General features: G+C 38.7%; 1 protein-coding gene and 2 long non-coding RNA genes across 3 annotated transcripts in view, besides 1 other annotated feature; 2 read left to right on the top strand and 1 right to left on the bottom strand.

The window, feature by feature from the left end:
- The window catches only part of LOC105374040 (uncharacterized), a 61639-nt gene extending 52501 nt beyond the window's left edge, over positions 1-9138 (top strand). Inside the window, exon 4 of the long non-coding RNA XR_924333.4 lies at positions 3868-9138. This is a non-coding gene — a long non-coding RNA (uncharacterized LOC105374040). The remainder of the gene's footprint in view (positions 1-3867) is intronic.
- PHLDB2 (pleckstrin homology like domain family B member 2) overlaps positions 1-25804 on the bottom strand; it is a 244022-nt gene that overhangs the window by 168202 nt on the left and 50016 nt on the right. The window lies entirely within an intron of this gene.
- LOC107984087 (uncharacterized) lies at positions 9721-24753 on the top strand. Its single transcript, XR_001740848.2, has 4 exons — positions 9721-9763; positions 13710-13845; positions 19288-19425; positions 24741-24753. It is a non-coding gene; the product is annotated as an uncharacterized LOC107984087 (long non-coding RNA).
- Positions 14973-15474: an enhancer, noted in NCBI's record as "H3K27ac hESC enhancer chr3:111511689-111512190 (GRCh37/hg19 assembly coordinates)". NCBI's record gives its function as "activates a minimal SCP1, AML or CMV promoter by ChIP-STARR-seq in primed H9 embryonic stem cells {active_cell/tissue: H9 hESC(primed)}" and the evidence as "EXISTENCE:reporter gene assay evidence [ECO:0000049][PMID:30033119]".

The following is a 25804-nucleotide window of genomic DNA, read 5'->3' as shown; positions in this document are numbered from 1 at the left end:
AAGATCATCTGTGGATAGAACATCTGGGTGGGTACAGCTAGTCTCTGTGGTTTGTCTCTTTCTAAGATGTCAGAGTGGCATACTCTAAAGACAGTTCACCCCACAATTTTGAACACATTCCCTAAGACCCAGAGAATCAAACTGTTAATGCTGCTGTGAGTTCTTTACAATGGTTTTACATTAATATTGCCAGGAGAAACTTTAAAATCACCAATGCCCCAGCCCCTTTCCAGACCGATGAAATCAGAATTTCTGGGCTGGGTCCCAGGCATTGGTAATTTTTAACACTCCCCAGGTGACTCTAATGTGCAGCCAGGCCTGAGAACTATTGAGTCACTCATAAAATTAGGCAAAAAAAAAAAAAAAAAACACCCAGCTTATTTATAAAATGGTCCTCTTATCAAAGAAATAAAGCAATGTTCAGTTAACTACATTTAGCAAATAATTCCCAATTTAGCTGGCACTGTCTTAAATCTGTGAGATTCATTCTCCTCCTCTTCCTATTCCTCTTCCTTCTCCTTATTCTCTTCTCCTTCTCCTTCTTCTTCTCCTTTTTTGAGACAGGGTCTCACTCTGTCGCCCAGGCTGTAGTGCAGTGGGTCCATCATAGCTCACTGCAGCCTTGAATTCCTAGGCTTGAGCAATCCTTCAGCCTCAGCTTCCTGAGTAGTCAGGACTACAAGTGGGACTACAGGACTACAGGCGTGTAAATTAAAAAAATCACGCGCCTGGCTATTTTTTTTAAATTTTTATTTTTTTGTAGAGATGGGGTCTTCCTATGTGGCCCAGGCCTCCTGGGCAAACTCCTGGCCCCAAGCAATCCTCCCAACTTGGCTTCCCAGAGTTGCTGGGATTACAGGTGTGTGCCACTATGCCTGGCAGGGATTCATGCTTCTTTTGAGATTTAAATAAGTCAATGTTTAAACCCTAATCTTCAGTTTCCAACATTTATGACTTTCCCTCTTTATGTTCTTTGTCTCAAGATGAACATTTGTACTTTAAGTGATTTTCTAGTCAGCAATTATCATTTATTAAATTCCTAATGTTTGCCTGTCTCTATGTTTGGTACTCTGTACACTTAATTTATTCCTCACAACAGAGCTATGCATTAGACATTATTATCCTCATTGTATATAAGGGAAAATTGAATCTCAGATAAGTTGAGTTGGATGGCTAGAAATAGCCATTCTGATCCCCTAAACCAGGTTTATTTTTTTCCTATTCTAGTATCCTGTATCTAGTATACTGTATCCTGACAATAGCATGGTGTCACAGCTAAGTCCTGGACTGAGAATCGGCAAATGTGTGCTCTGGACCTGCAACTAATGTCTCTTACAAGTCCCATAACTAGAACTTCTTCATCTTAAGAAAACAAAAAGGGGCTGGGCATGGTGGCTTATGCTTGTAATCCCAGCACTTTAGGAGGCCAAGGCAGGAAGGGTGCTTGAGCCTAGGAAGAAGTTCAAGACCAGCCTGGACAACACAGTGAAACCCCATTTCAAAAAAAAAGTTATTAAAAAAAAAAAGAAGGGCTAGGTGCAGTGGCTCATGCCTGTAATCCCAGCACTCTGGGAGGCCGAGGCAGGCGGATCACCTGAGGTCAGGAGTTCAAGACCAGCCTGGCCAGTGTGGTGAAACCCTGTCTCTACTAAAAATACAAAAATTAGCCAGGTGTGCTGGCTCGTGCCTATAGTCCCAGTTACTTGAGAGGCTGAAGGCACGAGAATTGCTTGAACCCGGGAAGCAGAGGTTGCAGTGAGCCAAGATTGAGCCACTGCACTCCAGCCTGGGTGACAGAGTGAGACTCCGTCTCAAAAAAAAGAAAAAAAAAAGAAGAAAAAAAAAGAAAAGATTCAAGAAGGCAAGAAAGAAGCCAGTCACAGAAGACTACATTTTGTATTATATAAAATTCCATTTATATGAAATTTCTAGAAAAGGCAAAACTATAGAGACAGAGAATTGGTTCGGTGGTTGGCTGGGGTGGGAGAGGGGATTGACTGCCACAGGTGTGAGGGAACTTTCTGGTGTGATGGGTATGTTTTAAACTGGACTGTGGTGCTGGTTGCATAATCATATATAGTCATCAAAAATTCTATAATTGTACACTTACAATGGGAGAATTTTATGATATGCAAATTATTCCTCAATAAGGCTGTTAAAAATGGTACTGGGACTTGCACTAGAAGATGACTGCTATAATGATTCTAGAGATACTAACTCTTTATGGCATTTTCACAGCAGATAACTTGAATTGTTGAATCTTTAACAACATTTTGACCTGTTTTTTTATGTACCCATTTAAGTATCCAATTGATAACTCTTGACCAATTCTCTGTCTCTATTGTTTTGCCTTTTCTAGAAATTTCATATAAATGGAATTTTATATAATACAAAATGTAGTCTTCTGTGACTGGCTTCTTTCTTGACTTCTTGTATCTTTTCTTTTTTCTTCTTCTTTTTTTTTTTTTTGCATACATCTATGCAACCACCATCACAATCAAGATATAAACATTTCCATCATCCCAAAATTTCCCTGTGTCCTTCCCAGTCAACACTCCCACTCACCACCCCTGGCCCCAGGCACCACTGACCTGCTTTCTGTCACTATAGATTAGATTTGTCTTTACTAGCATTCCATAAAAATGGAATCAGACAGTATGTATACTTTTGTGTCTGGCTTCTTTCACTAAGCTTGCTGTTTATGAGACCCATCCATGTTGTTGCATTTATCCAGTAATTTTTTTTCTTTTTTTTTGAGACGGAGTGTTGCTCTGTCGCCCAGGCTGGAGTGCAGCGGCGCAATCTCGGCTCACTGCAAGCTCCGCCTCCCAGGTTCGTGCCATTCTCCTGCCTCAGCCTCCCGAGTAGCTGGGACTACAGGCATGCGCCACCATGCCCAGCTAATTTTTTTGTATTTTTAGTAAAGACGGGGTTTCACCATGTTAGCCAGGATGGTCTCGAGCTCCTGACCTCGTGATCTGCCCGCCTCAGCCTCCCAAAGTGCTGGGATTACAGGCTTGAGCCACAGCGCCCGGCCCCAGTAATTTTTTTTATTGTTGAGTAGTATTAGCTTGTATGGATATATCATAATTTGTTCTTGGCTATAATGAACAAAGCTGCTATAAACATTTATGTACAAGTCTTTTGTGGACTTATGTTTCATCTCTCTTGGGTAAATTCCTATATCTAGGAGTAGACTTGTTGGGTAACAAGGCACACGTATGTTTAACGTGTTAAGAAATTGTCAAACTGTTCTCCAAAGTGACTGAGGTTGACACTTTCAAATTCTACATTCTTGCTAGCAGTGTATAAGACTTCTGGTTGCTCCACATCCTCCCCAGCACCTAGTATTGTTCTATTATTTTATTTTTCACATGAATAACTTTTTATTTTACCAAAAACTTGATATTGTTCTATTGTTATTTATGTCAATATTTTATTTCTCAGTGAAATTTATTACATAATTTTGAAGTTTTTCTCAAAATAAGAAGTGGCCCACTTTTTAGAAGCCCTGTGTGCAAATTAATTCTTACTGTTCAGCATCACAGTTATTTAAAAAGTCAAATAAACACTGCAGTTTAGCAAAGTTTTCCCCCCAAAATTTCAATGGTAAGTATTAGCTGTAATTTTAAATAAGAAATGAAAGTTTAATTGGGCAAAATCTGGACATCCACATGGAGTAAAGTAGAAACCTATTAGTCAAGTGATGTGGGACTAATTTTTTGAGGTTTAGCTCCATTATTACTGTACTTATGCTGCAGATAGTATATCTTATACTCTGCGTAGAAAACAATACATCAGTAGGTTGGGGCCTAGCATCATCATTTACTTTTTTGCATCTGAGGCTTCTTTCTTTATTTCTAACAGGTTGACCTGAACATCATTGGCTAAACATAGGAAATCAAGAAATTGTTAAAACTTCGCCAAAGTTTTCTACCTCTAATAGTTAAGAGATGATGAAGGGAAGACTCTGTTCTTCAGAAGAATTCAATAATGTCTTCTTTCACAGGCTTTAAAAGATTATCTCTTCAAAGATTCTTCTAACTTTTTGTTTGTTTATAGACCATGTGTTCTCAATAGGAACAATATTGTCCACCAAAGGGTGAAAATTGGTTCTTGGGGGGTTTAACATTTTCTTACTATTTTAATGTATAAAGCACAGATATACCTATATACAGTTCACAAACAACATAATGGTGTCTCTGTGGCATTAAATCTCATGGAGGAGAGGACGATCAGAAAAAATGTCTAAAAAGGCTTCTTTAGGGATGTGATACTGAACAAAAGTTTAGAAACTGAATTAGAGGACAGGAAAGGCACATAAAGAGTTTAAAGGGACTAATCAAACAGGACGTTTTCAACTGATTACATGAATTTGGTCTGAGACTGATTCCTCAGAATGCCCCCCACTCTCAAGATACCATTTCACCTGAAGTCATTAGCTTTGGAATAGAAAGGAACAAATCTACGCTTTGTTAAGAAATATTTGTAAATTGGAAATTTTCATTCTTTATCTCACTTTGTTTTAAAGCAACATCAGAGAAAAAAATTGTTATATCCATTTTTTATAGCTGAGGGAAGTAACGCTCAATGAGGTTAACACTTTCAAATTCTACAAAGAATACACAGTTTCTGAGTGTAATTAGTGAATGTAAGAACCTGAGTTTGTTTGATTTCAAAGCCCATGATTTCCTCCCACTCATGTGCTAGCCAGGGATTGCTGGTGGGTGAGATGGTGTTCCATTCTACTATCCTGAGTTCACTGAAAATTGACTCAAATGCCTGAGTCAGGAATTGATGTGTTCTCACAGCTCGAATTCTGGGAAGACTAGTGGTGGGGGTGGGGCTGTCACTAAGATGTCCAGGAGTTCTGCACGGGGTGGTGGGGGCACATTCTCCCGGGAAGTTTCAACTGGACTGGAGTTTACAGGAATCCAAGAGCTTTGGCTAGAACAGAACCAATCTCAGGATTGCAGAGAACCCTGTTAGTAGCAACCTTACATTCCATTCCATATTTGTCAGTGAGGGAGAGGCACTCTGATCCCCATCAGAAATTTGAAGAACCACATAAGTTTTGGCTAGCTGCCTGTTCCCTCTGCTTCACAGCTTAACGATGAAACTTTTGTTTGCTGTGTTCTTCCATCCTCTGCTCCCAAGTAGCAGATGCCAACCAAGGAATGACTGCTGATTTCAAAATTAGAGAGATGGCCATATAGACTATGAACATATAGATCATTTCTGCTTTTTCTTTTGTTTCTAGAGATTAGTATAAAACTTTTTGTACAACATCCCCTATACTCATTAAATCTGTGACATCCTTGTTGCTACCTGATATCATATATCTGCTTTATTTTATATTTCTGCTTTTCCTTTTCCAGTGACAGGTTGCCATTTTAAAGATGATTAATTATCTATCATTTGGGAGCAGGACCATAACCTTTAACTTTTCCTGACAGGACAAAAAACATGTGTTCACACCACCCACCCTTATTGATTCTCATGGTAAGGAAGAAGAGAGGATCATAAACTAGAAGTGAAAAAATGGAAGTTTTAGTGCTTTTTCTTTAAAAGAGAGAGAATGCATGATGCTTGCCTCACTCTGCTGTAACGAATGTAAGTTAAAACTAAAATACAGTTTAGAAAACTTTCACATATTACTCACAAGAACAAGCTATGAGTGTTGTTATTTTACTATTTGCTAAATGTATAGTACTAATGTCTCTTCTAAGGGACAAATATCAAGCATTTCACAAGAGGTTACACGTCATCTTGCTCTATGCTAGCATGGAAATAAATGAGAGTTGGGAAAACAGGAAATAAATATTCTAAGTTATCAGGGAATGCTGCCAAGGCATCATAGGAGTGTCATTAGTTATTTTGGTTTCTCAACCAAGACCTGAGATACAAGGCTAGTGGGTGGTGTCTAGGACAACACAGAGAAAATGAGGAAGCTCTTGGAAAGTGCTCTCCCCTTGCTCTGTCTCCCCTTTATTCTTCACTCTGTAGGCCAGATCCTCTGGAGGCAGAATGCAGCCACCACTGTGTTTACACTTTGGTACAAGAGAGGTTTCTTGTATGTAAGCACAGTGCTCCATGGAGCCATAGAGATAGCTGGTGGCACTCTGCAGTTTTCTGTGCAGTAGCTTGATAGACTGGAGAAAGCCTGAACTAGGAGCCAAAGTTTTGATGTTAGATGCATAATCATCACAAGTAACACAAATCAATTTTTAGCAAGTTACTTAAATCTTTCTATCCTGGTTAATTTATTGTTTTACATTCTAAAAATTGAGATAGAATTCATATACTATAATATCCACCCTTTATAAAGTCTAGAATTTGATGATATTTGTGATTACATTCACAAAGTTGTGCAACCATCACTGCTATCTTATTCCAGAACATTGTCATCATTCCAAAACAAAACAAAACAAAACAAAACACCCATATCCATGAGCAGTCACTCCTTACTCTTCCCTCCTCCCAGTCCCCAGCAACCACTAATGTATGTTCTGTCTCTATAGACTTGACTATTCCACACATTTCATATAAATGTAATTATATGTTATGTGATCTCTTGTGTCTGTCTCCTTTCACTTAGCATAATATTTTCAAGGTTCATTCATGGTGTTACATGTATCAAAATTTTATTTCTTTTTATGGGCAATAATACTCAATTGTAGCTTATTGTTTAGTCACTCATTCATCTGGTCATCCATCCTTCACCTACTCTTCACTGAATACTTATTATGAACCAGCCTTGTCCTAGGCTCTTGGGACACATTTATTCATATTTGTGACATGAATGAATAAAGGCACAAATTTATTAACTATTATATAAAGATAAATATGAGATCTTCATATCACCTCAGTTAAAAATATTGGGTGAACAGATTGTTTATGAGCTTTTAAAATTTTGAGGTCTTTGTATCCAAAGGAGACCTGAGTTCTTGTTTAGTTTCTGTGTCTACTTACCCCTTGAAACTTAGATTAGAGGAGGGAGGGAGGCCTGCTTCATGAACCCCAGGACTGTGGGTTATTTCAATGTGGCCCTGTGCTCAGAGGGGCCTATGCTTGTTTTAACACTCTGTTGTGACTGTCTTGAAATTCTTAATAACTTTTGAACAAGGGGCCTTGTATTTCATTTTCCACTGGGCCCTGTAATTTATGTGGCCAGTTCTGAAGGGAGCAAATATTTATTAAGTGTCTACTCTGTATTGGCCATTGAATTTGACCCCACAGCTCATGTTGTTTAACAAGTCACATTTCTCTATTTTAAAAATGAGAATGTTACATTTAATATTATTTAAGGTCTCTTCTATGTCTAAATTTCACTAATTCTAAGTCTTGCAAAATGATCTATGAAGGCAATGTATTATACTTGTACCAGCTGATTCATCTTTTCAAGATTTATCTTAATTGGCATAACTTCTTAGAAATCTTCCTTGATTCTTTCCCCAGCCAAATTTAGTAAGCTTTCTTTTGTGTTCTCACACTCCCTCAGTGTTATTAACAGAGCTTTTTATAAAACTGGATTTTATGAAGTAAAAATAGTTTCTGTCTCTCTCATTGCATTGTATGTCCCCTTTAAATCAGGTACTGCATCTTAGTTAACGTGTAACTTGCAAAATGCTTCTTAAAACAAGCAGGATTAAAGAGTCCAATAGTAAAAATGAAAGTTCAGAAATGCCAGTTCATGACATTATTAGAGATGGGAAAATCTGAGGCAAACACATAGTCCACAACAAAGTCACTGGAATATAGAAACTAAAGATATACAGTGAGAAAAGAAATTAGGACATTTGCCCAAGTAAACTTAACTTAAAAGAACTATAGTTTTAAAATGATATATGCATAATAGTATAGGAATTTAATAAACAAAAAGTAATACAAAAGTAATACCTCTCCATAATTTTAAAATAATCAAAAGGCACAGAGGGTATAAAATAAAAATTTCTTTTCATGTAATTTCCCAGTCTCATTTTCCAAAGATATGCTCAATAAGAGTTTCTTGGCCAGGCATGTTGGCTCACGTCTGTAATCCCAGCACTTTGGGAAGCCGAGGCAGGCAGAAACTTGAGCCCACGAATTTAACACTAGCCGGGGAAACATGGCAAAACCCCATCTCTACAGAAAATTGCAAAAACTAGGTGGGCATGGTGGTGCATGCCTGTAGTCCTAGCTACTCAGAAGGTTGAAGTGGGAGGATTACCTGAGCCCAGGGAGGTTGAGTCTGCAGTGAGCCGTGATTGTGCCACCACACTCAAGCCTGGGTAACAGAGTAAGACTCTGTCTCAAAAAAAAAGTTTCTCGAGTATCCTCCTAGAAATGCTTTATGAGGAGTACATTTATACACTCTTGTTATTGCACAAATAGGATTCTATTTATATTTCTATATAGTTATTTTCCTTGCCTTTTACTTAGTAATATTTTTTAGACCTCCTCCCATATTGGTATCTATAGATCTCCCTAATTCATTTTCAGGAGTGCATAGTACTCTATGACATGTGTTGAACACAGTTAAATAAAGCAGTCCTTTCTGATGAATACATAACATTGTTTTCAGTTTCTGTAAATTATGGAAAACCACAATAGATATCTTCACATAGGAAGATATTCACAGTATAAATTTCCAGCAGTGAAATTGCTGGAAGTCTTTATAATTTGATTTTAAGAAAAACTTAATTCAGTACCCAACCTGATGTCTTTGAGACAATTTCACATTTACTTGTTTGTTCTTCTCCCTCACCTTCCTTTAGAATTTCTTTTTTCTGATTGGGATGACATATTTCTAAAGTATTTCTAGCTTTCAAAAAAATAATTTATAGAAAATCAGTCTATATTTTTAAAGACCAATTGAAGCTGTCTACCTCACCAATGTGAAGAACTGAAGTAGAATTTAATTTTCTTTTCTAATACTTTTTTCTAGTATTAAATTCAAAGACTACTATTCCTCTTTTATTTACAGCAGTCTGTGTTCAAATTGTGCTGACACCATGATAGATTTCAGAGTGATTTTTTTGGCTATGTGGGCCTCTCCCATTATAATAAGAGTACCAGCTTCTTAATGCTTGTGATATGATTTGGCTGTGTCCCCACCCAAATCTCATCTTGAATTTTAGTTCCCATAATCCCTAGGTGTCATGGGAGGGACCCAGTGGGAAGTAATGGAATCACGGGGGTGGTTTCCCCCATGCTATTCTTGTGATAGTGAGTTCTCACAAGGTCCAATGGTTTTATAAGGGGCTTCCTGCTTCACTTGGCTCTTATTTTTCTCCTTGCTGCCACCATGTGAAGAAGGATGTGTTTGCTTCCCCTTCTGCCATGATTGTAAGTTTCCTAGGGCCTCCCTAGCCATGCTGAACTGTGAGTCAATCAAACCTCTTTCTTTCATAAATCACCCAGTCTTGGGTATGTCTTTATTAGCAGCATGAGAGTGGACTCATACAGCCTGTCTCCATGTTAGCTCACCTTCCTGGCCCTCATATGAGGTCTAAACAACACTCCTTTGCATAGTAGAAATTCAGCATATATTTTGAAATTGATTGTATTGGAAACATCAAAGATGCCAGATCCTAGAATTGTTCAGATTAAAGATAAAATAACATTTTATTTTATTTTATTTTATTTTATTTTTATTAGAGACAGGCTCCGGCCCTGTCACCCAGCCTTGAGGACAGTGGCATGATCATAGCTCACTGCAGCCTTGGCCTCCTGGGCTCAAGTGATCCTCCTGCCTCAGCCTCCCAAAGTGTTGGGATTACAGGTATGATACACTGCACCTGACTGAAAATATTTTAAATAAATGCTTTAATAATTTCATTGCAGTTTTGTGGCCCAGGTAATTTTCACTTAATCTTACTTGATTACAGAAAGCAGTATGAAAAGTAAACACAAGGAAGCCTAGAACATACCAAAATTCTCCTATACAGATGATTTGAGTTTTAAATATTTTTAGGTCTTATTTCCTTGCTTTCTTTAGAATGATGGTAAAAATTGACTTTTTAAACATCTTTTGAAAAATTAGAGCACTCTCAGATTTAGAATGTTCCCTGATTCTTTTTCTTCTTCTTTTTTTAAGATAGAAAATTTGGGAGTAAATTATAAAGGCCAAGGTCTTAGAAGTTCACCTTGTTTTCTATTCCTCTACAATTGTTTTTCAAATTTTTCAAATTTTAATTTTTTGAGATAGGGTCTCACTGTGTCACCCAGGATGGAGTGCAGTGGCATGATTTTGGCTCACTGCAGCCTCAACCTCCTGAGCTTAAAGGATCTTCCCACCTCAGCCTCCCAGGTAGCTGGGACTACTAGCATGCACCATTACACTTAGCTAATGTTCTTATGTTTTTATAGAGATGGGTGTCTCACTATATCGCCAAGGCTGGCCTCAAACTCATGGGCTCAAGCGATCCTTCCACAGTGGCTTCCCACAGGGCTGTGATTACAGTCGCAAACCACTGCACCCTACCCTATTTCTCTACAATTGAGTAATCACAATTGCGTAGCTTTCGGCAAATCACTTCATTTCTCTGAGGCTTGGTTGTTCTGTTTTCTGCAAAGTTAAGAGCATCTTAAATATCTATCCAGTTCTAAAATGGTAGGACATCAAAGTGGGAGTGATGGTGGAGAAGGGTTGTGAAAGTTGCTTGTAAACATATTTAGCAGATTTACAGAAGTCAAACAAAGCAATGAAAAAGTTCCACATATAGGAGGAGTTTAAAAAGACACAGATGGTAGCAAAAATAGAACCAAGGGATTTTTGCCTTTGTCTCATGACAGACTGTCTTACGGAATCCTTACACATGGATTGAATTGCTTTCAAGTAAGGCAGTCAACAAGAATATGAAGGAAAAATTCTGTGGCAATGGCTGGGCCTCTAGTTATTCAGTGTCTGAGATAAGAATTAGGAAAGTGAGATGGTCTATAACCCACAATAACTACTCTCTGTGTGTGTATGTGTGTGTGTGTGTCTGCCTAAATAGAACTTAAACCATTCAAAGTTCCACATCTTTCTTTTTCATTTGTTAATTTCTTTAGCATCTGCTATTCATTAGGCACTGGTGATATGTGGTCAGTGGGGGAAACAGATATTGAGTCAATAATCACGTCAACACATAGATAATGACATATTGTGGCAATGCTAAGAATGACAGTAAATATAATGAGAAACTAAAGCAGGGTCACTCATTTAGATTATGTAATCAATGAAAGCCTTCTTTGAGGAGATCACATTTAGCTAAGACATGAGGCATGACCAGAAGGTAGGCAGGAAAAGAAGATTTTAGGTAAAAGGGTAGACTAATCCTGAGCTAGAAAAGGGTTAGAGGAAGTTTAAAAACAAACAAAACCAGTCATGTCAATAACCTAGAGAAGAGCAATAGGGAATAACACTAGAAGGCTTATAGGCCTTGTAAATCTTGATAAGAATTTTACATTTTATTATTGTATATCTTACTATTTGAGGATGTTACACAATCTGATTTGTGTTTTTAAAATCTCCCTCTTGGGCCAGGCACAGTGGCTCATGCTTGTAATCCCAGCCCTTTGCGGGGTCAAGGCGGGTCAGGAGTTTTAGAACTGCCTGGCTAACATGGCAAGACCCTGTCTCAGCTAAAAATACCAAAAATTAGCCAGATGCATGCCTGTAATCCCAGCTACTCAGGTGACTGAGGCACAAAAATCGCTTGAATCCAGGAGGCAGAAGTTGCAGTGAGCCAAGATCATGCCACTGCACTTCAGCATGGACAACAGAGTGAGAGTCTGTCTCAAAAACAATAAAAAATAAAATAAAATCTCCTACTGGCTATTCTGTGGAGAATCTGTTAGAAGCGAACAAATGGGGATTCAGAGATTGGTTTAAGGAGATATAGAGAATTACCAGAATTAGGAAAGGGATAACATCAGGATGATAGCAGCTTGAACTAGGTAACAGCAAAGGAGCTGGAGAAAAGTGGAGAGATTTTGGCCATATTTTGAGGGCAGAATCAACAAGACAGTGTCTTAACACTTCTGGTATTTTGTTTGTTTCTTTTTAGGTTTCATTTACTTTGTCTTCACTACATCTAGTAAAAATGAAAAGGCGTTTTTCTATTCCTCTCTCCCTCTAAAGAAAACAGGTCTTGGCTGGATGTGGTGGCTCATGCCTGTAATCCCAGCACTTTGGGAAGCCGAGTCAGGCAGACACCTGAGGTCAGGAGTTCGAGACCAGGCTGGCTGACATGGTGAAACCTCGTTTCTACTAAAAATACACAAAATTAGCCCGGGCGTGGTGGCGGGCGCCTGTAATCCCAGCTACTCAGGAGGCTGAGGCAGGAGAGTCGCTTGAACTCAGAGGGCGGAGGTTGCAGTCAGCCGAGATCGCGCCACTGCACTCCAGCCTGGGCAACAGAGTGAGACTCAAAACAAATAAACAAACAAAACAAAAATTAGATGGGTGGGGTGGTGCACACACCTATAATCCCAACTGCTGGGGAGGCTGAGGCAGGAAAATCGCTTGATCCCGGGAAGCGGAGGTTGCAGTGAGCCTAGATCACATCATTGCACTCCAGCCTGGGTGACGGAGCAAGACTCCGTCTCAAAAACAAAAACCAAAAAAAACCTACCCAGGTCTTTACTTATGAAAACTAGGTAAACTGAGGCATGTTGAATGATTATCCAAAAGGAGGAGGAGCTCCAAGGATTAAAGGAGGCAGTGTGGGTGGGAAAGAGAGTGGGATTTCCCAAGACTTCAAGATGTATGGAAGTGAGATTATTTATCAAAAGCCTACTTACTTTCAAATAAATATTGTAGGGACCTAGTTCTGCTCCCATGTGACTCACTGGAGATGGCAAGATTGTTGATGGAGGCAGCATTGTGAAGGACTGTGTGGAGACTCTTAATGAAAGATCCTCAGCTCAGGCTTACCACAGAGAGAACAGAAGCAACTGCATTCAAATGGACCATAGGTCTTGGACAATGTGCACTTTGGTGACGACTGAAATTTCCAGTTAGGGTACATCCTCTCCTTGGCCATCTCCACTCTTGTATCATTTTTGGGAGGAAAAGGAGCTCTTAAACATTACTGAAATGCAGTTTCCCATGACTGAAGGGTGGAGACCTAAGAATACCTATCTGATTTCTTAAAATAAAGAAGTGCAACTCTGAGGGTTGAGGAACTTCTTTCATTTACATACCTTTTAATTATGGCACCTTAAACAAAAACTAGACATTAGTTGTTACCACTCATGATGATAGTGGTGCAGAACTGGTAGATTTGAGAATATTTTGCAGTCAAATGCTCAACCACTGAGCTATACCCCCGATTTTAGAATATTTTGGAAATTTTGAGACAATGCTCCTGGAGTGAACATAAAAACAGCTGGAGAGCATGTGATCCTCTTCACATCTGAAAGCCATTAAAGACAACAGTGGCAGAGGCATTCCAGATGGTTCCACCCCTCAGCTACATGCTGTAGGCCCTGCTTTGCATGCTAGCTCCAATACCACACCAAAGTGAGCAGGCCTCAAGCAAAGATGAGAATGGCAAGGGTTGATCAAATGCCTTACCATTCATGTATCAGGGACTGAAGTTCCACAGCTCAGGTGTGTATCATGGCCCAGGTGGATCCAATCCAATCACTTTAGCCTTATAAAGCAATTTAGGACACAGTGAAATCCATACTCTTATACATTTTTGTGACAATATGAATTGTTTAACCTTTCTTGAGGGCAGATCTAGTGGTATCTACAAATAATCTTCAGGAAGCAAGATGGCCAAATAGCACCCTCCAGCAATTGTCCCCACTGTAGGAACACCAAATTTGAACAACTATCCACAAAAGAAAGCATCTATAAGACCCCAAAATCAGGTGAGTGATCACAGTACATGGTTTTAACTTCATATCACTGAAAGAGGCACTGAAGAAGATAGGAAAGACTGTCTTGAATTGCCAACACCACCCCTCCTCTATTCCGCAGCGGCAGCCACATGGCCCAGAGAAAGAATCTGCATGTTGGGGGAGAGAGGGTGCAGTGACTGCGGGACTTTGCATTGGAACTCAGTGCTGCCTTTCACGGTGGAAAGTAAAGCAGGGCAGAAATCGGCAAGTGTCCATGGAGGGAGCATTTAGACCAGCCCTAGTCAGAGGGGAATCATGCATCCCAGCGACTGGGTTCTGGAAAGCATCGCCACTCTGGACTAAAGTGGTCTGGGGTCCTAAATAAACTTGAAAGGCAGTCTAGGCCACAAGGACTGCAATTCCTTGGCAAGTCCCAGTGCTGTACTTGCCAGTAGACTTGGGGTACACACAACCTAGTGAGACACCAGCTGGGATGACAAGGTAGTGCTTGAGTTACCCCTCCCCCAACTCCAGGCAGCACGGCTCTCAGCTCTGATTCCTTTCTTCTGCTTGAGGAAGGATAGGGGAGACTAAAGAGGACTTTATCTTGAAACTTGGATACCAGCTGAGCCACAGTAGGTTAGAGCACCAGGCAGAGTCCTGAGGCCCCCATTCCAGGTTCTAGCTCCCAGATGACATTTCTAGACAAACCCTGGGACAGAAGGGAGCCCACTGCCTAGAGGGAAGAATCCAGTTCCGGAAGGATTCATCACCTGCTGACCAAAGAGTCCTTGGACCTAGAATAAACATCAGTGGTAGCCAGGCAGTATTTGCTGCAGGCATTGGATGAGACCTAGTCCCATGCTGACTTCAGGTGAGACCCAGCACATTCCCAGCTGTGGCGGCTATGGGGAGGGACTCTTTCTGCTTGGAAAAAGGAGAGCAGAGTGTAAAGGGAGCTTTGTCTTGCACTTGGTTATCAGCTCGGCCACAGTGGGGTAGAGCACCAAGTGGGCTCTTAGGGTTCCTAATTCCAGGCCTTGGCTCCCTGGACCAGAGGGGAGTCCACTGCCCTGAAGGGAGAGACCCAGATCTAACAGTGTTCACCATAAGCTGACTGAGGAGCTCTTGGGCCTTAAGTGAACATCAGTAGTAGCCAAGCAGTATTTTCTGCAAGCCTGGGGCAGTGGTGGCCATGGGAAGAGTCTCCCCTGCTTGAGGAAAGGGGAGGGAAGAGTAGGAATGACTGTCTTGTGGCTTTGGAGCCAGCTTAGCCACAGTAGAATAGAGCGCCAGGTAGATTCCTAAAGTTCCTGATCCTGGGCCCTTGCTCAAAGACAGCAATTCTGGACCTGCCCTGGGTTGGGTGGGGGAAGCTTGCCCCCTGAAGGCAAGACCACAAGCCTGGCTGGATTTGGCACCTGCTGACTGTAGAGCCCTTGGGCTTTGAGGGAACATCCTAGGCAGTGGTCGCCATGGGCCTTGGGTAAGACCCAGTGCTGTGCTAGCTTTGGGTCTGAATCAGTGTAGTCCCAGTGTTGGTGGCCACAGGGGTGCTTGTGTCTCCCTACCCTCAGCTATAAATAACCTTCAAATATTCACATCCTTCCTTCTTTTCATTGGATTTCTTGTACACAGAAATAAATTAATCATAATCTTGGTTCAGTACATACCCATGGCATGCATTTGTTTGCTTATTTGTTTCTGATAAATCCTTAGAAAATACCAACCAAAGTGAATGTTCATATCTTTTTGTTTATTTAGTTTTTCTTTTTGTTTTTGTTTTTTTAATTTGAGACAGGGTCTTGTTTGGTCACCCCGGATGGAGTGTAGTGGCGTGATCAGGGCTCACTAAAGCTTCAAATTCCTGGGCTCAAATGATCCTTCCACCTCAGCCTCCTGAGTAGTTAGGAACACAGATGTGTGCCACTACACTTGGCGAATTTTAAAATTTTTTGTAGGGATGGAGGTCTCCTTATGTTGCCCAGGCTGGTCTTGAACTTCTGGGCTCAAGCGATTCTTCCACCTTGGCCTCCCAAAGTGCTGGGATTAAAGACATGAGCCACCATGCCTGGTGCTCAGATCTTGATGATAACTGATAGCTAATTGTAAGTTCTCCACATTTCATCCCTATGCCTCCCTCCTATCTGAGCTAATGTGAATCTCATATTCATTATCTCATGCTTTCTCTTTTATATAAGAAAGGATATATATACATATCAGAATTATAAAATGATTCTTTCAGAAATGAGGGAGAAATAAAGTATTTCCAAAGCAAGCAAAAACTGAAGATATTTGTCACCACTAGACTGGTCTTACAAGAAATACTGAAGGGAGTCCTGCATCTGGAAGCAAAAAGACAGTAATCAACATCATGAAAACATGTAAAAGTATAAAAGTCATTAGTAGAGCATATAGACAAACATTGTATGTTTTTACTCATATGTGAAAGCTAAAAAAGTTGATCTCATGGAAGTAGAGAGGAGAATGATGGTTACCAGAGGCTGGGAAGGCTGGTTAGGGGATGGAAGGGATGAAGAGGTTATGGTTAATGGGTACAAAAATATAGTTAGATAGAAAGAATAAGTTCTAGTGTTTGAGAACACAGTAGGGTGACTATAGTTAACAATAACTTATTGGATATTTCAAAGTAGCTAGAAAAGAAGATTTCAAATGTTCCCAACACAAAGAAATGACAAATCTTTGAAGCAATGGATATCCTAATTACCCTGATTTGATCATTACACATAGTATGCATGTATCAAAATATCACATGTACCCCATAAATATGTACAATTATAATGTATCACTGACGAAATTTAGAATGTAAAAAAAAGATAAAGTATATTTAACATGTGGCTATAAAATAGCATTTTATAACCATTTCATTAAAAGCAAAAAAGTCTGACAACAGATCCACAGCATTGCTTATACACTACCAGGGAGATTGAGTTGGTACAACAACTCTGGAAAACAGTTTTGCATTATCTCTTAAAGGTAAGCATTTATCTACCCCGTGACAAATTGCCTATACAATGCTGCCTCAACAAAGATACTTTTGAGAATAAAATGGGGGCACTAACAATGAGTTAGTCCTGTGAGTCCTTGGATAAGAAAGTGTAAACTGGGACTGAAATGGGAAAACAGAATCATCTTGTCATTTACCTAAGACCCAGAAAGTCCACTCACAGGAAGCAAACCATTGCATCTGCTCACAGGGGTCCTGTATAGGAAAGTTCATAGCAGGGCGTGTGAACACAGTCTTGCACATAGCCTTTCACCCAGCAGATACCATATATAGAAATTTATTATAACAAAAGAATATTGGTTAAGAACAAACATTCACCTACAGTGTAACTCATCAAACTATTTTTATAATTCTGAAAATCTGGAAGCTATCTAAATATTGATAATTCATAGCTGGTTAAATCATTGTGACACAATAATAAAACATTACCAAAAGTTAGGGAAGATAATATTACAGAGAAATATTTATGGAAAAGGTTCACAGTGTACTAGGGGAAAAGCAGATTACATATCAGAATGCTTACCATGGCACCATTTTTATAAAATGAATACATACATTAAAAAGAGACTAGGAGGATACATTTTATATCATTAATACTAGATATTGGTGGTTTTCTTGAAAATGTTTAATTTTTTAATTTACTTCTCTATATTACTATATTTGTCTACAATAATCATGTATTTTTAAAAAAGTTTTAAAAGTGAAAAGTAAATTCTATTGCACCAGAACACTGTTTAGGTTGGAGGCTGTTCTGTTATGATTGTCTTCATTTTATGTCATTTTACGTCCAGAGTATCCTAAAGAGGCAGCTTCCCTTGCACTGCGCTCACCTCATCAAACAGAAGTCTCTCTTGCATCTGCGAAAGGTTCTTTTCCTTTGTCAAAACACAGTGCTTAGGTGGCCACAAACACATGTCAGTTCACTGTCATAGTCTGGCTCCTGAGTTGCAATAATTCAGCAACCTACTGAGCAACTCCTAATGCCTCAAGTGCTGTGAAGAGAGTATGAAGAGACTACTAGTTGTGTGGATGAAAAGTTCTGGAAGGTATATATTAAACCTTTCAAGATCTTTGGAGCTTGGTACCTTATCAGAGAAGAGACATTTACCTGAGGAGTTGGAGTAAACTTTTGTGGTCAGAAAGGAGACACAATGAACTTCCTGGGGTCAAAGGGCAACCATATTACTACAACAGCAGGAGTCTCTTTCTTGGCCAGTCTCTAAATGGAGAGTGGTCTTTATTTCTAATAAGGGAAGCTGAATATTCAGGGCTATGCTATGAGATTTTCAGGGTTATGAAAACCCAGAGTATGCCTATTTCTAAGCAGGAACAAAATTAAGAGGCTAGGCCTCCACTTCCTAGTAGCTGACTAGCTGTAACATTTCTGAGGTGCTGATAAGATCCAAGGGCAATTTGAACGCCCTGCCCCCAGTCAGGCTCCTCACGCCCATGGAGTCATGATAGCACTGGCTGTGGTATGAGAATTCCATTCCAAAATTCTGAAGGGGCTTTGGTTGGATAGAATCTGCCATGTGAAGATCATGGATTTCACAATATGGGGGTGGTGAGAACCAAAGAATCATTGTTTCCAAGATTTCTCAGGAACTCAGTTTTGTATTGCTCAGTTGGCTAAAGACAAGGGCCAAACAAAAATACTCAGGGCACATAGCCCCGGTGATGATAGCTTGTCCAATTTTGGCACGGCGGTAACTGCTATTTGTTGGTCGCTGTTTATAGGGTTAGACACCATATGAACTAAGCACATAATATATATTATTATCTCATGTAATTCTGAACAACTCTGCAAAGTAAGCTATTACCATTGCTATTTTACAGGTGAGAAAATGGCATTTCAGAAAAGTCAAATAACTTTCCAAAGTCCACAAAATTAATAAAGAAATTTGAACTGAGAACCATTTGAATCCAAAATCTGCACTCTCATTCACTATAGTACATGGCTTCCCATGTATATATGTCAGAGCAGTTAAATCTTTCTTCTTTTTTTAAACGGAGAATGTACTTATAGCAAAACCATTTTGTTCTTTATGGCCTCTAAAATAATCCTGACTGGAAGATATCTGCCAATTATGTAACCAACTATGAGTGGTGCCTCCTTAATTGTTGGTTGAACAAATGACTACGTAGTTCCCATAGAGAGCATATTATTACACCTTCTCAGAAAGCAGACTAATAAGGAGTTCTATTGGAGTCTATAGTCTTTTCTTCAAAGGAACTCCTAATCTGATGCCAGGCATCTGATAGAACCTTGAGCAACAGGCATAATTTGTTGTTTAGCAGAGACCTCTTTGATTGACCAGGAGTGGGGAGCACTGTTTTTTCCATCGCCTTGATAAAAATACCTGCAGTGACGATTGGGAAAAGTAAAACTCAGGGATTTGATGTGTGAACCTGGCATTCCTTTCTCACCAATATGATTCCAACAGGGAGAAGAACATAATATAGCGCTCATCGTTTCATTTCTCTACCCACGATCTTGCAATGTTTTTCCTCTGCCAACAAGGAAAGAAAATGGAGCTATTCCTTTACTGAGCACCTACTATGTGTCTGATAGGTGCTTTCCCGTAAGTTATTCTTTTACTCTTTAAAGCAGGGGTGTGTAATCTTTTGTCTTCCCTAGGCCATATTGGAAGAAGAAGAATTGTCTTGGGCCACACATAAAATACACTAACACTAACGATAGCTGATGAGCTGAAAAAAAATTGCAAAACAAATCTCCTAATGTTTTAAGAAAGTTTATGAATTGTGTTGGGCTGCTTTCAAAGCTGTCCTGGGCCTCATGAGGCTTGCAGGCTTCAGGTTGGACAAGCTTGCTTTAAAGCATCCCTGTGTGGTAGGTTTAGCTATTTCAATCTTACTGCATCATCTTAGGCTCTTTTTAGAGAGAAAGAATAAAAGGTAGATAGATGGGAGAAGTAAACAGGAGAAGAGACAAAGGGTCTTTATAAAGATCTTCTTTTCATTTAGGGAATATCAAATTAATGTCATTTAAAATAATATTGACACATGCTTTCTCCTCTTGGACTTTTCTACCTTTAGAGGACAAAGGCCTTGGTGTTAAATAGCAGACTGACACACAAAAGTCCCAGACTCTACTTCTGACCTGGGTGAATTTATCACTATGTCACTCTTAGTTTTTGGTCATAGGAAGGTAGTCATCCAGATATAACCCCATGGCATTCATAGGAAACAACATGACATCTATCCAAATTACTGCTTTGAAATGACATTAAAAAAAAAATAGCATAATGGTTTTTTCCATCCACTCGTTTCTGTGACTGAGTTTCCTTCCTTTGTCCTTTAAGCACATTTAGGGCTGAAAAGTCCCACCAATTCTCCTCCTGGAAACTAGTAACCTTCTTGGGTCAGAATGCATGAGACAAACATCTTGGTTAAAGTGAGAAGACTATTTATGGCCAGGAGTCTTGACCTGTTTCCAATTCATGCTCCCATTCCAGTCTTTGCCAGACTGGAGGATTTCTTACCCTCTATTTCTAATATATTTACTGAAAAATTTACTGCTTTATTCTCTAATGTTTATTTTGGCGGACTACAAAGTCTAAGTTTATTTAAAAACTGTAGAAAAAAATTGGTGTATCTTCAACTTGGTGATCTATTTTAGAGAAACATGCAATCAGGTTGGATTCACCCCAGAATAGATTGGGTACGCTGCCAGAGACTCGACCCCGGGGTGGTCCTTTCTTCTTGGCCGTGGCTGTGGAATGCCTCCCCTATCTCCCATGTGTCCTCTTTGAGGTGAAGTGGACCAGAAGGAAAAAGAGGAAAAAGGCAGGTCAGAAGCAGAGCCCCAGAGAACACAGAAGAGAAAGCCTAGAGTAGCCCAAGCTACCAACCATGTCTTTGAAAATGGTAGAAGTAGATTGAGCCCTCCAATTCTAGCTTGAAAGGGTTCTCATCTGTAGCAAGTGTCAGGCCACAGTCACACACCATGAAAAGTCAGGAAAAGGGTCTGTGAATGTTATGATGGAGAGAACATTCATTTTCAGCATTTGAAACCCAAGTGCAAAAAAATATCCAAAGATAAAGGAGAATATCTCACTTATAAGTTCCATTTGATTTAAAGTTAACTGTTCTCTAAAGAAATTCTGATTAAATAGCATGCTATAGAGCACACAGTAAATACTCCCAAATGGCAAATTATTAAACTTTTTAAACAGGGAACACATTCACCTTCAGTAACGCAAAAGCATGAGGATAGAAATTATAAGCTAGAGTCTCTTGGGGTATATTTGAGATATCTAAAGGCCAAGTAGGCTGTCAGTCTCTGACACTATGGCAGTTAAAGACATCCAACACAATTGTTATGTAGTAGCATAATTGTTGGTCTACTAGGCTGTCATCACCACTAAACTGTGAGATCTTTGACAGTACAACAGTCTTCACTTTAATTGCCCTTGAATCAATAGTACCTAGCATTGCGCCCCATGCAAAATAAGTTCTTAAACTTTTTTTTTGATGAATGACAAATGTGTGAACCTTGGATTTAACCTCTGGTTTTTGCATCTGAGGCTCTCAATAGGACAAGTCACTGAGACAGCCAGAGTTTATTAAAATAGGCATAGGAGTTTCTATTTGAAAACCTGACTATGTCATTTATTATACCTATTTATTAAACATAGAATTATAGGATCTTAGGCTTTGAGGGGACTCTTAGATCATCTGGTAATGATATTTTAGTTCAACTCTCTCATTTTAGAATGACAAACTGTAGCCCGGGTGAGATAAGTGATCTGCCTAAGATTCTACTGCTTATCATTGGGTGGGAGGGCCTGGGCTTGTCTGCCAATCCCCTAAGTTGCCGATGCTCTGTCTTATCCTCCCACTTTAAGCCTTTTTCAGAACTCAGACTTAAATTTTTGAAAGTAACAATAGTTATTTACTAGGTCATTTTCTTCAGCTAGGTCAAACAATCCAGAATCATAAAATCTTAGACTTTGGAAGAGGCCTTAGAGGTCATCAGTTTAACATCCCAACCCAAGCAAGGATCTCCTGTACAAACTTGAATGGCATTTAGTAATTGTTTGAATTCCTACAGCAGTAGGATGTCAGTATAGTCAGTCCTCTGTATCTGTGGGTTCTGCATCAATGGATTCAACCAACCATGAATGAAAAATATTTGGGGAAAAAAACTGCATCTGTGCTAAGCACGTATTGACTTTTTTTCTTGTCATTATCCTTAAACGATACAGCATAACGACTATTTACATTGCATTTACAGTGTATTAGGTATTAGAAGTAATCTAGGGATGATTTAAAAGAGAATGTCCATAGGTCCAGTGCAAATACTATGCCATTTTATATCAGAGACTTGAGCATCTGTGGATTTTGGTATCCATGAGAGGTCCTAGAACCAATCCTCCATAGATACTGAGGGATAACTGTACCTCATTTTTGAATATAAAATTCTTCCTTTTATTTAAGTAAGATTTGCTATAAATTTTAATGTGCCAAATGCCAATATCTAGAACTACACAGAATGAATCTACCACATTTTCATGCCAATCCTTCCTAATTATGAATACAATTTTCATGTCAATATAAATCTCTTCCCGAGCAAAACATTTTTTGAATTCTTCTTCAAAAGATATGGTTTCCTGAACCACCACCATTCTGGTTGCCCTTCTCTGACTATCCTCCTATTTATCAATGTCCTAATTGAATTTTAGAAGTGGTCTAACAGATGAAGAGTAGTAGAATTATGACTTCCTTCTTGGTGTGTCCTAGATTTTGTTAAAGAAGTTTAAGATTGCATTAATGTGTGTGTTTGCCTCTCTAATGCTTCTTGTTGAGTTTAAGATTAGTTAAAAACACTAGGTATTTTTGGGTGGGAGGGGAAGAATCCTGTCATATTTAATATTCAGAAATAAATTCTAGATGGATTAAAAATGTATGTGTAAAAACAAAATAAAGAACTAGAGGAAAATATTATATTTGAAAATGCTAATTTTACTTGGAGATTTGAGAATTCCAAATGTATCCTTCAAGGATATAAGTCACATAAGACAGACTGCTATATTTTGCCAACTAAAATTTAAAGCTCCAAAGTGGAAGAATAATAAAAATATCAAAAAATAAACAGAAAACAGAAATATGCTTGCAAAATACATGTAGGGGTTAACAGACTTAATATCTCAAGAGCCCTTGAGAATCAACTGAAATAGACTAATATCAGTAGAACAATGAATAAAGAGCATGAATAAGTGAGTCACAAATGAAGAAATAAAATGGCTCACAAACATGTGATGAAATGTTCAAACAAGCTAGATGCCAAAGTTGCTGGCAAAATTAAACTGCTAAAAATGAAATTAATAGCCAATATTCTATGCAGACAAATACTTGGAAAAACAGATTTTCTCACACACAGCTGATGGAACTATACATTTTTATTACTTATTTAGTATAATTTGGAAATATATGATCAAAGCTTAAGAAAGCAATTAATTTGTTCTCAAAAATATCACTTTTCCTAATTTATTCTAAGTGAAATATTAAAAATGTGTGCAAAGAGTCTTATCATAGCACTACTTATAATATCAAAATAGAAAAAATAAAGTTTTTACAATAGGGAATTGGTTAGGTATGACATGTTCAAGTAATGGACCATTACTATTATTTAGTTAAAAAACTGATTTAGAAATATACTTACTTCACAATATAATGAAGTAAACAAGTATGTTACAATATACATGACATTTTTATAATTTATGTGTATATTGCATATGTGTGCTAAAAGTCTTGGAATTAACACAGCACAAACACACTTTTTCTTATCTTTATGTTCTGAAATACTAGTTTCATCACTCAGAATAGGTTGGATTATACTGAACAAATAATCCCCAAATCCCAGTGACTAAACACAATCAAAAATTAGTTCTTGCTTATGCTGCTTATCAGCACGGTTTATGAGAGAGGGGCCTACTGATCACACCCACTCACAGACACAGACAGATGGCTCCAGAAGCTTCCACTACCACTGAGGCAGGAAAAAAGGATGAGGCAACTTGCACACACTGCATGACACTTCTGGTATTTTGTTGTTCAAAGAAAATCTCATGCCTCACTTCAAAGGAACAAAGAAATGCAAGCTTCCAATGAGCTCAGAAGAACAATTTTTGCAGACAGTCCTAATGACTATCACATTTACAGTTTTTTCTGTTTGCTTGTTTGTGTTTCCTGATTTTTGTAAGTCAACCTATATAATACTTTATTAAGAGAAATTCCTGTTCGGACATATGTCCTTAATCATGCATTTGTGGAATTCTCGGCTCTGATATTTATTGCCTGTTAGAATATTTCTCAATCTTGATCTGATCCTATTAACCAACGTATTTTCCCTCCCAGTTTGGTTATTTGGCAGTTCTGAAAATATCATCTAAATCATCATCAGTGACACCAGGCAGGGTGATCATTCCGGAGAGAGAATTCCTCTCAAAGGACATGGATCCTCTAAACAATTGCCCTTAATATACTTATTCAATTGACTCTGAATTCACCCAACTGTATTTTTATGTAGCCCTCAGTTTACCATCTGGTTCTTAAAGATAACAAACTTTGTCAAGAGCCTTACTGTAATTGAATTTCTCTTTGATATTCATCTGATGTAGTGTTTCAAGTTTGGCATAACTTGATCTTAAAAAACTCCTTTGGGATTAAGGCAAGATTTTTCTGGCCCAAATGTTCACAAATTGGCTTTTAATATTTATCCTAGAATTTTGCTAGTGATCAACAGCAAGCTGATCAATCTCTAAATTAGAAGGTCAATTTTCTGTCTCGGGAATACAAGTACCTTTATAGTTATTAATGTTTATCTTCAACCTGTTTCTCTCCCTGGGTGCTTGCTCCCTCATTGATCTGCAAGTTTGTTCTGAATAATCTGGACCTGGAGATTTGAACACATTTAAAGGTGATGAGTTTTTGTTTTGTCTTGTTTTAATTTCTTTACCTTGCTCATGTTTCTCTTTTTCCCTAGTAGTGTTTTTTCAATTATTTTATTTTATTTTTTTCTCCAAGCCTCAGTCTTGAAAAATAATTCTTTTATTTTAAAGAACGTGCCACTACTAAGATAAATAGAGCTTAATTCTAAAACAAAGTGGATATTTTAGATGTAAATTGCCAGTTGAGGCTACCCATTTCAGAAAGAATATTATAAGCAAAGGTTATCACGTGTTGGCTCTTCTGCTATTGCCCCGTAGAAGATTTGTACATATTCACTGGAGGGCTCTAGAAATCTCTCTCTGAACAGTAAAGATTTTCCCATGACCTTGATGCTGAAGCCATGGACTTTGGAACTGCTGCAAGCAGTTTCTAGAAATAGTCATGTTGAGCAAGAATTCTCAAAATTTTGAAGCACAGAGAACTATGGAATTTTAGAAAGTGCTGTCCTGGAATAGCAGCTGGGGACAGAGGAGGGGAAAACAGATAGGAACTAAGAAGAAAAAGGAAAAACTGGAAGTAGGACAAAATTATATGTGATATAAGGTTAGTATGCAAGACTAATTCAAGCTATGCAATAATATAAAATGTATATATAGAGAATCCTAAAAAAGAAGACACTATGTCTAAAAATATTTCAAAACTTTTTTCTCTCTGAATAGCCTGAGAACAAAAATAAAGCTCTATTTATCACCTCATATGTGCTAAGCACTTGTTCAAAATGATGAGAAAAGTAGAGAGGGTTGTTGCCTTCATGGAATTTATTGTTAAGAAGAAAGACAGACAATTCCTAAGCTGTGCCTGATAAGTACCCAGTGGGGTCAGTACTTGGTACTACAGAAAGAAGCTCTAGCAGGAGTCTCACCCAGTTTAAAGGGGAATAGGAAGGGCCAGGGAAGGATCTCTGGCATAAGTGATGTTTAAACTGAAACCAAAACAGAGAAGAAAGAATTTGCCAAGCTTATGGGGAGAGTAGAGAGCATTCTGGAC

This window comes from Homo sapiens, chromosome 3, assembly GCF_000001405.40.
Source record: "Homo sapiens chromosome 3, GRCh38.p14 Primary Assembly".
NCBI lineage: Eukaryota > Metazoa > Chordata > Mammalia > Primates > Hominidae > Homo > Homo sapiens.
Note: the sequence above shows the minus strand (reverse complement) of the source record. Positions and strands in the feature narration are given on the sequence as shown.